The sequence below is a fragment of the Homo sapiens genome, chromosome 8, assembly GCF_000001405.40.
Source record: "Homo sapiens chromosome 8, GRCh38.p14 Primary Assembly".
Classification (NCBI taxonomy): Eukaryota; Metazoa; Chordata; class Mammalia; order Primates; family Hominidae; genus Homo; species Homo sapiens.
In genome coordinates, this window is record NC_000008.11 from 50,812,355 (window position 1) to 50,825,248 (window position 12,894).

A 12,894-nucleotide genomic window follows, 5' to 3' on the forward strand; every position below is an offset into this window, starting at 1 on the left:
AGTGTTTAAATGTTTTCTATCTTGCTTGTTTGTTAATTTACTTGTCACACAACTAAATGAACATGGTGTTTTTGAGATCTTTGTTTGGGGCTGAGTGCGGTGTCTCATGCCTGTAATCATAGCACTTTGGGAGGCCAAGGCGGGTGAATTGCTTGAGCCCAGGAGTTCAAGAGCAGCCTGGACAACATGGTAAAATCTTGCCTCTACAAAAAATACAGAGGTTAGCCAGACAGGGTGGCATGGGTTTGTGGTCCCAGTTACTTGAAAGGCTGAAATGCGAGGATCTCTTGAGTCCAGGATGTTGAGGCTGCAGTGAGCCGACATCATGCCACTGCACTCCAACCTGGGTGACAGAGAGATCTTTGTTTGGTTTGCTTGTGTTCATTGATGTTCTGATTTCCTGATTTCTTTAGACAGTACCTCGTCTGAGGTGTGTGTGAAGCAACAGGAAAACCCAGGGAACTTGCTACTCTCCTCTTTCTCAGGCCCTAGGTTTCCCTGCTGGTCTGTTTTGTTCTCTCCCTGCTTCATGTAGCCAAGAAACTTGCATTCACACCTGAACTATTTCACTTATTCTTTGGTCAACCTTGTGGAAATAGATAGGCCATCCTCGTTTTTCTTACATAGATTGGCTAGGGTGTAGTTATCTGGATCAAATAATGAGATGTAATTCACAGGTCATGGTGAGGGTGTTAAGAAGGAGAGGCATAAGGGAAAGTTCCTTGAAACCATGACATGTGAAAGAAAACCTGAAGAGTGAGCAGGGGGTATCCATGCAGGTTGGTCAGTGTGTTTCCAGGTAGAGGCCAACCCCATTCCAAAGGTTCTAAGCAGGCAGGAGCATGAGGCAGCCGAGAGCTAAAAGTGTGGAGAGGTTGGAACCAAATGGACAAAGGAGCACTGCACAGAGGAACCTGGAGGGCTCAAATGAGCCATAGAAACTAAGGTCCATGCCAGCAGAGATGCCTGGGATGCTGGTGCTTCCCTGTGGCTGAACTTTTCTGAGTCATTATTAAACATATTTGCAGCAGGAGCCTCTGGGTATTATGTTCCAACTTATAAAGAGCATCTGCCCCCCAAAAGATAACCTTGCTTCCCACTGACATTGACATAGTTGTCACTGTGAGTGCCTGCGTATTAATCCATGAATCTGAGACATCAGCCATGACAAGCCATGGTGTGAAGAAAGCTAACAGGAGAATCCACAAGGCCACACTCAGCAATATGACACCACAGCCCCTTGGACTCGAATGCAGAGGAGCGGCATTATTACCTGCCTTTTGTGTATTATCAGTTGTACTTGGATAACACTCAGCCATAAAAAGGAATGAAGCACTGATCCACACTACAACATGCGTTACCCTGAGAACATTTTCCTAAGTGAAAGAAGCTAGGCACAAAGTTTCATTCTGCTTAAATAAAATCTTTGAAACATTAGGTTCGTGCAAAGTAATTGTGGCTTTTGCCATTACTTTCACCAATTACTTTTGCACCAACCTATAGATAAATCCACAGAAAGAACAGACACTGATGTTTGTCAGGAGCTAGCAGAGGAGGAGGAATAGGGAAATTCTGACTAATGGGTGAGAGGTTTTACACTGGAATGATGAAAATTTTTTGGGACTAGATAGAGGGGGTAATTGCACAAGACTGTGGGCATACTAAATGCTACTGAGTTGTTCACTTTACAATAGCAAGTTTTATGTTGTGTGAATTTCATCTCAATAAATCATTTTTAAATGAAGTAATTGATTATCATTTAAACTTTCTGTACACAATTATATAATAGTAAGTTCTAAATAATTAGCATACAGTAGAGTTTTAGAACAGGACTCAACCATGAAGATGCTATAATTAAGACTAATATTTACCCAGGGGAATACAAGACGGCAAAGATGTCTGGAGATGATGCAAAAAGTGAGCATGGCTGGGACTATTCATTGCGGAAGTTACCAACTGTCCAAAGATACAGGTCAGCTGAGCGCATCTGGGGATGCACACAATGGGCTCCAGTGGTACTCCATGAGCCCTGTGCAGAGGAAAGAAGAAACACATAGAATAGTAGGTATAAAAATACATCATGATATACATATTATAAGATTAAAGAGGCCGGATACGGTTGCTCACGCCTGTAATCCCAGCACTTTGGGAAGCCGAGGCAGATGGATCGCCCCGAGCTCAGGAGTTTGAGACCATCCTGACCAACATGGTGAAACCCTGTCTCTACTAAAAATAGAACAATTAGCCGGGCATGATGGTGCGTGCCTGTAATCCCAGCTACTCAGGAGGCTGAGACGGGAGAATCACTTGAACCCAGGAGACGGAGGTTGCAGTGAGCCAAGATCATGCCATTGCACTACAGCCTGGGCCTTGTGCAGTGAGACTCTGTCTCAAAAAACAAAAAAACAAACAACAACAGCAAAAAAGATTAAAGAAATAATTCTGTGTTATGATACTTGAAAGCTTAGAGAAAGTAGATAGTCTATTAAAATATAGACATGGTAAAAGTGACCTCAAGCATAACTGGAAAATATTTAACCTTTAAAGAACAGATAATTTTAAAATGACAAATCATTCCAGGCCATTTTAAAAAATAGATACTTTTAATATAATTAGGGAGGCCATCATAATTAAATACCACGACCATATTACATAAAGGTGCTGAAACTAACAAATCACATAGGAAAGGTTATTGTATTAAGCAGGCTTCTCGAGAAAAACAGAAATGCAAAGAAATCTATCTATCCACCTCTCTCTCTCTATGTCTCAAAAATTTTATTGTAATGGTTTGGTTTATGCTATTATGGAGGCTGAGAAGTTTTAAGATCAGCCATCTGCAAGCTGGAGACACAGGAAAGCTGGTGGTATAAATTCCAGTGTGAGTTTGAAGGCCTGAGAACCAGGAACACCAATGGTGTTAGTCCTAGTCCAAGGGCAGAATAAGACTGATGTCTCAGCTGAAGGAGATAGAAAGAATTCAACCTTCCTCCACGTTTTCATTCTTTTAGGGTCTTCCGTGGGTTGAATGATGCCCACCTACACTGGGAAGGGCAATTGCTTCACTCAGCCCACCAATTCAAATGCCAATCTCTTCCACAAATTCATCACAGACACAGAAACAATATTTAACCATATATCTGGGCATCCCAGGGCTGAAGTTTACACATAAAATTAACCATCACAGGCACAAATAAAAAAGATGATGGCAGTTAAAATACAGAAATAATGGAAAAATTAAGGTTGTTAATATCATAAAATATTATTAAGTATTAAAAAATGAGTTAGATTTGCACCAGCTGATTGAAGGGCTTTCTAAAGAGTGTTTTTTAACAAGTGCAATATGTAGCAACATTTACATAATAGGATCCCATTTTTATCAAATAATTTTATGTGGTATGTGTGTCAGGACATGCATGCAAACACACATATGTTTTCTCCTGTTTATTTGAGAGTGCAGAAAGCTATGCAAGATAATATGGTTTATGTGGGATTCAATTAATAAGGGTCAGGAAAATGTCTGTAGCGTGAGTACCTATGTTTTTAACACACATTTATCTCCTATGATTATTGCTGGGTTTATAGATGTTTTAGATTAGAAAGAGCAAAGGATTATGAGTTTGGCAGCTCTGAGTTCAAATATAAATTCCTCCATATATTAAAACTTTGACTTTGTGTATCTTATCTGGCTCTAGCTCCTCCAAAATTTGTTGCCATTGTTTATGTGTCAGGAATAATATTTTCCTGTTGGTATTGTTTGGAGATTAAGAAAATTAATTAAATCAAACTCTGTGATGCAAATTATTTATTTAGTATCAGGTCTTTTCCCAATCTCTGGGACCAAAGTTTTATACATAAAATTAAGAGAGAAAAGCAAGCAAACATATGTGTCACGTATTATAAAAGATTCAGTGTAATTGTGGTAAATGACAAATTTAATTCTTGTTTGAATAAGAATGTATCTACTGTGTGTAAATATGATTTGTGTTTCAAAAGAAGAGCATAGTTACATCTTTAGGTCATAGAAGTAAATGTCTTTATAAAAGTAAATGTCTTTACAAATGACAAGAGGAAATGGAGTTGAATGCACATTCATCATTCAAGTCAGCAATTAATGCGACCGGGTAGCAGGACATGGCATTGAGTCAGTCCAGCTTGCCACTACAGCTGTAAGGGAAACACAGCTTCTATTTTTGGCAAAAAGATAAGACTCTTACACAAAATTAAAATGTTTGTATGCCTGCGTGACATGTCTACAAATGTCCATAGACATCTTAAAAAAAAAGCCTAATTAGCAGTTTTCTGTTTTATTTTCATTACATTCTTCTACGTAATTATAAGCTGTAATTACAATAATCCTAACCTCAAAACCCAATGTATGTTGGGTCTATTTCATAATAAAATGTGTCACATAAGAATAATATATTAATGTTATGTATATTATATTATTTTTATTATATGTTACAATAAATGCAGACAAGCCTCAGAAAAAACCAACCCTGTTGACACCCTGGTCTCATAGTTGTAGCCTCCATAATTGTAAGAAAGTATATTTCTGTTGTTTAAACCACCCAGCATGTGGTACTTTGTTATTGGAGCCCTACCAAATGAATATACCAAGCCACATAACAATGGTCAAACTGGCTGGGCACGGTGGTTCACACCTGTAATCCCAGCACTTTGGGAGGCAGAGGTGGGTGGATCGCCTGAGGTCAGGAGTTCAAGACTAGCCTGACCAATATGGTGAAACCCTGTCTCTACTAGAAACACAAAAATTAACTGGGTGTGGTGGTGCATGCCTGTGATCTCAGCTGCTTGGGAGGCTGAGACAGGAGAATTGCTGGAACCCAAGAGGTAGAGGTTGCAGCAATCTGAGACCGCACCACTGCACTCCAGCCTGGGCAACAGAGCAAAATTTTGCCTCAAAAAAAAAAAAAAAAGATGGTCAATCTCATATAGACATAATTTGCCTACGTATTTCAATTAGGAAAGGGTGGATTTTTTTAAACCATTGGTGCTAGAAGAACTAGACATGCATTTAGAAAAAAATGAAGCTTAATAAGCAAGTCGTGACATACATAAACATTGTCTAAATTGATAATGAACTTAAATGTAAACACTAAAACAATAAAAATTATAGAATAAAACACAGGAGAAACATTTCACAGCCTTTCTGTAAGCAATAATTTATTAGTACACAAAATCTTGAACCATAAAAAATCCATTAATAACTTATTTGCATTTCTTTTTTCTATCATTGTATGCAAATCCTGATTATATGAGGCAGTGAAACTGTTTTGTGGCTCATTTTTATAAGGCCCAGGAGTAAGAATGGTTTCTACATGTTTAAATGTTTATAAGAAAAACATAAAGAGGATATACAATAGAAACCATATGTGGCCCTCAGAAGCTAAAGTATTTTGTCTCTTTACAGTAACAAAATAGCTAAACTATGCCTTAGCGAAGAAAATTAAAATACTACTTTAACATAAAACTTTACTGCTAAAAGTTTCCTTTTTAGTACTACTTTACAGCACCTCACCAGTTTTGATATGTAAGGTTTTTATTTTCAATTCAATTAAAAGAAAAGAGATCCTATATGATTCCTGCTTCCACCTATGGGTAACAGAGAGGTATGTTGTTTAATTTCTTAATATTGGTGAATTTTCTACCTATCTTTCCTTTATCGATTTCCAGTGTGATTCTGTTGTGGCCATACATATGTATCACATAATCTTGAATATAACAAATGTGTTCAGAGTTAAATTATGGCCTACCACAGGAAAACGGTTGAGTAAATGTTTTCTGTTTTACCAAGAAGACCTAAATATTTTAGAATTTGAGGGCCAGGCATAGCTTCTACATAACAATCTTTTCTGTTTGTTGTTGTGTTGGTTCATTCGTTTTTATAACCATTTTAGCATGTGATAAAAGCATATTGTTTTAGCTCTCAGTTTGTAGAATAGGCAGTGTGCAAAATCTGGTCATGGTTTTTCAATCAATCTTGAAAAGGTGTATATTCTGCTACTGTTGAGTGGAAAGCTCTTTTATCTGTAAATTAGGCAAGGCTGGTAAATAGTGTTATTCATGTCTTCTTTATACATATTGATTTTCTGTGTACTTGTTCCATCACTTACTAAGAAAATTATTCAAGTCTCCAACTATAGTCACAAGTTTGTCCAATTTTCTTTTCTGTTTTTTAGTCTTTGATTTACATACTTTGTAGTTCTAATAGTTCATATGCATTTAGGATTTTTCAGACTTTTGATAAATTGATGTCTGTAATTACGAAAGCTGCTCTTTACCTCTGGTACAATTTCTTTTTTAATAAACTCTTTTTTTCACTGAAGATGTAAATTACTTAAAATTGACTTAGTCATTTTTTTCTTCATATTATTGGTACTTTTTTCATTCTTGGGGCATTTTTTTGGCTTTTTTGAGGTATAATTGAAAAATCAAACTATATTAATATAAAGTATACAAGATGATTTGATATATGTATATATTGTGAAATGACTACCACAATCAGGTTAATTAACACATCTATCACCTCACATAGGTACCTTTTTTACTTTTACATTTAGGTTTTTGATAAGAATGCTTAATACTAACTGATTTTACTGTCATTTTAGCTATCTTTTGATTCATAACTTCATGGCACTTATTTTTCTTTCTTTTTTTTTTAACCAATATCTTCTAATTAATTTTTTTTTCTTTTTTGAGATGGAGTCTCACTCTGTAGTCCAGGATGGAGTGCAGTTGTGTAATCTCAGCTTACTGCAAACTTCACCTCCCAGGTTCAAGCGATTCTCCTGCCTCAGCCTCCTGAGTAGCTGGGATCACAGGCATACGCCACCACCTGTGGCTAATTTTTGTATTTTTAGTAGAGACAGGGTTTCACCATGTTGGCCAGGCTGGTCTTGAACTCCTAACTTAGGCTGGTCTTGAACTCCTGACCTCAAATGATCTGCCTGCCTCGGCCTCCCAGAGTGCTAGGATTACAGGGGTGAGCCACTGTGCAGGTGCTAATTTAAATTTTTTGGGTTGACTGAATGTACTTAGTTCTGAGATATATACCCAAGTAAATAATTTTTGCTTTTTAAATGGCTGTTAGACTACTTATATTTCAGAAAATAATTAATTATATTAACATACATCCTATTGGCTGTGTTTCCTGAAAATCCTCAATATATTATCACATATTAATATCTCCAGATATATTATAAATCCCTCAATAAGCGTTACTACTGTCACTGTAGGTAAATTATATTTTAAAGCATTTAAAAATAAAAATATATGTTTTATATTTATCATCTTTTTGCCATTTTTAGCTTCCTTTATTTTTGTAGTACACAACTCCTGACAATGAGTTCTTTTAACCTTTGCTTATTTGAATATTTTAAATTTCACCTTAATATTTGAAAAATACATTTACTAGGAAAAGAATTCTAAGTTAACACATTTATTTTTTCATTTAATACTTTTTATAGTACTTTTAATACTCATCATTCTATTGATGAGAAGATTAAGGTAGTTCTTAAGTTTGTTCTTTGGTACATTTCAGTTGTCTTCAAGTTTTTATTTTTTATTTTTGTTTCTGAAGTTTGACTAGAATGTGCCTGGGTGTGTGTGTGCATGCGTGTGTGTGTGTGTGTGTGTGTGTGTGTGTGTCCTTAGAATTTCTTCTGTATTAGATCCTGTCATCTAATCTGTAAACAGAGATTATTTTATATCTTCCCTTCTTACATGGATGCTTTTATTTCTCTGTATGGACTAATTCTGGACTAGAGTCTTATGTGCAACATTGAATAGACATGGTAAGAGTGAGCAACCCCGTCTTATTTCTGATCTTAGGTAGGAAGTATTCACTATTTCCCCCATTCAGTACAATAATATTTGTGCATTTTTCAAAGATACTTTTTATCAAGTTGAGAAAGTTCCCTTTTATTCCCATTTTGCTGAGCATGATTATTACAAAAGGGGGTGGATTTTGTCAGATACTTCTGTATCTATTGTGATGATGTAAATTTTGTCCTTTATTTATTAATTTGCTATATTACCTAGATCTTAATACATTAAATAATTCTTGCATCAGCGGGATAAATCCAGCTTAGTCATAGTTAATAATCCTTCTAATCTGCTGCTAATTGAATTTGCTAGTATTTTGTTGAGGTTTTTACATAAATATTTATAAGGGAAGGGGAGTTTGTCTGAGGTTTTCTTTTCTTTTTATGTCTTCATGATTTGGTATCAAGTTATAATGGCTTCATACAAGATGTGAAAAATCTTCCTTGTATTGTTTATATATTTAAATTTTTTGTATATTTTGCCGTTTTGACCTTAATAAATAAAATTTCTCTGGCTGAGGAGAGACTGCCTCACCCAGAGCTGGCAAATTCTTAGAAATAGCAAAAGGTTCAGCTGGGAGCATACCTCTGACAGGCAAACTAACAATAAACTTTCTCTGTTTGGCCCCTGTATTCCAAAAGACAGTAGAGTCATGCATCATTTAATGATAGGGATACTTTCTGAGCAATGCATTGTCAGGCAATTTTGTAATTGTGTAACATCATAAAGTGTACTTACACAAATGTAGATGGCATAGCCTACTGCACACCTAGACTATATGCTACAGCCCATTGCCCCTAGGCTACAAACCTATACAGCATGGTGCTACACTGAATACTATAGGCAATTGTAACACAATGGTAAGTATGTGGTATCTACACATAGCTAAGCACAGGAAAGGCACAGTAAAAATACTGTATAAAACATAAAATAGGCCAAGCATGGTGGCTCCTGCCTGTAATCCCAGCATTTTGGGAGGCCGAGGTGGGTGGATCATTTGAGGTCAGGAGTTTGAGACAAGCCTAGCCAACATGGTGAAACCCTGCCTCTACTAAAAATACAAAAATTAGCCAGGTGTGGTGGTGGGCGCCTGTAGTCCCAGCTCCTCGGGAGGCTGAGGCAAGAGAATTTCTTGAACCCGACAAGTGGAGGTTGCAGTGAGCAGAGATGTTTCCACTACACTACAGCCTGGGCAAAAGAGCAAGACTGCATCTCAAAAAAAAAAAAAAGATAAAATATAGTACACCTGTATAGGGTACTTAAAATAAATGTAACTTGCAAGACTGGAAGTTGCTCTGGGTGTTAGTGAATGACTGGTAAGTGAATGTGAAGGCCCAGGACTTTACTGTACACTACTGTAGAATTTATAAACACTTGGGCTACACTAAATTTGTATTAAAAAAACTTCAATAATAATTTAATCTTAGCATACTATAAATTTTTTACTTTATAAACTTATTTTTTTTCACTTTTTGACCCTTTTGTAATAACACTTAGCTTATAATACAAACATTTTATAGCTGTATATAAATATTTTATTTCCTTATATTCTTATTTTATTTTTACATTTTAAATGTTTTTGTTAAATACTAAAACACAAACACATACATTAGCCTGGGCCTACATAGGGCCAGGATTATCAATACCATTGTCTTCCACCTCCATATCTTGTCCCAGTGGAAGATTTTCAGGGACAATAACATGCATGGAGTTGTCATCCCTCTGGTAAAAAATGCCTTCTTCTGGAATACTTCCCTAAGAACCTGCCTGAGGCTGTTTAATCACTAACTTATCTTTTAGGAGTATACTCCAAAACAATGATAAAATGTATAGTATAATAAAGAAGCAGTAACAGTCATTTATTGTAATCATCAAGTATTAGGTAGTGTACACAATTGTATATGCTAGACTTTCATAAAACTGTCAGCACAGAAGTTTTGTTAACACCTGCATCACCACACTTGGGCATGCTTTGCACTACAACTTTAGAATGGCTACAACATCACGAGGCAACAGGAATGGTTTCAGGGCCATTATAATCTTATAAAACCACCATGATATGTGCAGTCCATTGTTGATCTAAATGTCATTATGCGCCTCATGACTATATTCCTCTGTATTAACCATTTTAGGGGCAATGTAACTATTTTCAAATGATAGTTTATCCCCTTTTAATATTAAATTTATTGTAAGACTTTTAGTTGTAGCTTCTTTGTGTTATAAAATTTGCATAAATTTGGGCAATAAGAAATAGCAAATTCCATTAATAATAGATATGCTATCAAAATATCACCCAAGTGCAGTTTGACTCTGAATATAAAAACTGCAAAAAAGAATTGTCAGCAGCATTTTAAAAAATATGTCAAGTTTGATGAAGCCTACTGCAGGCAATTCATCAGCTCTTATCAAAGAAAACAAATATTTAATGAGACAGTAGCACCTCAAGCAAATGTGAACATTCTTTGAGATTGCTTGATTGAATGAATCATTCAAATTATATTTCACACTCATGTCCTCAAATTCATAAACCCCATCTCTTTGTAGCAGAGCTAAAAGTAACTGACATTAACAATCTATGCTAAATGTTTCATATTTACCTGAGCTTTCAAAATGAAATGGAACATTTTAAAAGTCTACTTAAAGCAACAAGTTTGCTCTGCACTATTAATTTTACAGATGTTCACCTGCTTCCATGGAGAATAATATTCTGATAATGTGTATATATATATGTATATTTCTGAGACAGAGTCTTGTCCTGTTGCCCAGGCTGGAGTGCAATGGTGCAATATCAGCTCACTGCAACCCCCGCCTCTCGGGTTCAAACAATTCTCCTGCCTCCGCCTCCTGAGTAGCTGGGATTACAGGTGCGCACCACCACGCCCAGCTAATTTTGGTATTCTTAGTATAGACAGGGTTTCACCATGTTGGCCAGGCTGGTCTCTATCTTCTGACCTTATGATCCACCCACTTCAGCCTCCCAAAGTGCTGGGATTACAGGCATGAGCCACCATGCCTGGTCCTGATAAGGTATATCTTTATGCAGCTTCTAAGTGGAGTACTGCGGATTGCTTTAAAAATTGGCAGAGAAAAAAATTATTGGGTGATATCTGCAATGTATGTATGTAGATTCAAGCAATTTTCCAGTCATCTCTTTATCTGAGGAAAGGGGCATCCACTATAGAGAATATTTATATAAATTAAGCAGTCTTGTTTTTATTATAAAAATTTATTCTAAAATTCTTAGGGAAACATTTATGTGAAAGGATATGAGAATGATCATTTAATATTGTAGATGTGAGTTATTTTGTGTACATGTAAAACTATTATCTCTTTAGCATCATTTCCATGATTTAGATGTATCTCATATTTATTCTAGTGAAGATAATCAATCTGTTCTAATTGTCTATGAATCTAAACTATTAATAAATACATAAGATGCCCATATTCTAAAATTCACTTCTTCCACCTGACCTAGTCAAACCTATTTTGATTACTAAATTCCTGCCCAATTCAAAGTAGAAAATCATTTTTGCCCATCAATGATAGACTGGATAAAGAAAATGTGCCACATATACACCATGGAATACTATGCAGCCATAAAAAAGAATGAGTTTGTGTCCTTTGCAGGGACATGGATGAAGCTGGAAATCATCATTCTCAGCAGACTAACACAGGAACAGAAAACCAAACACCATATGTTCTCACTTATAAGTGGGAGTTGAACAATGAGAACACATGGAAACAGGGAGGGAAACATCACACAGTGGGGCCTGCCAGGGGGCAGTGGGCAAGGGGAGGGATAATATCAGGAGAAAGACTTAATGTAGATGATGGGTTGATGGGTGCAGCAAACCACCATGGCACATATATACCTGTGTAACAAACCTGCACATTCTGCACATGTATCCCAGAACTTAAAAGTATAATTTAAATATATATTTATATATTGATGGCACGAAGTCTTCTCCTTAGGCAATTGGTATAGCTACTCAAATTGAGATGGTGTTTCTAATGTCAATTATGAGAATATGTGTATCAATCATATGTAAAGAAAAAGGTTAATTTTCTGTTGCCTCTCCCTCAGCAATAAATTTTTAATATTTTTTCTAGAAATTGTGTTTCTTTGTTCTATTCATATTTCTATTATTGGATTAAGCATTTGGAATCACACACATACTCAGCTTTGTTACATTACTAAGAAAAAATGACCACTAAAGTTATTTTGCTTTATTTTTATGTAAGTGTATGTTTTTGTATTGCCATTCCACCAATTTGGCCATGAGCTTTGTAGTCACTAATGTGAAGAGCCATAATTGATGGGTAGTGTCCACAAGATTATTTTTAATTGCTTGGAAAATTTTCTATTGTTTTTAGTAATTAGGTCAGAGAAAAATATCCCATGATGCTCGTCCTAGAAAAGACACTGGTGAACAATTAAAAATAATTGTTTATTTTCACACTGGTGAAAAAATAAAATTGCTAGAAACAATTCTGCCATTAAATACAGAGGTGAATTCTTTCAGAGTGGATAACTCAGTGGAGAGGAGGCTGAGGGGAGTAGGAGGGAGGCAGCAATTTAATACCAGGTGTCTGTAGATCTTTGTAGAGGTCTGGCTTAATTCCATGGTACATTGTAGAGTATCATTATTTTGACTGTACATTTAGGCATGCAAAACTTTTGATAAGCCAAAAGTGGCACTGCCTGTAAGATTTTATTTTGCTGTCTAGTGACTGGACAGCACATGTGGCATGATGCTCAACACGTGTAGAGCACAGAAATATTCATCTGAGTCAGGCACATGGCTGATTGCTCCTTCCAAAAGTTTTTTTTTTTTTAAGTATAGCCTACAAAGTCCTAGTCTTGCATACAGAGCACCAACTCTGTCCTTCAGTAGATAAGAAAAAAGCCATGCATAAAACAAATTATTGTCAAGGAATAATTTCAAGTAATCTTCAATATTCGGATAGATGGGTAATAGTATCTATCAATCTCAACATTAATTATCTATAATTATTATAAATTATTTCAGAGTAAAAGGCATAGTAATG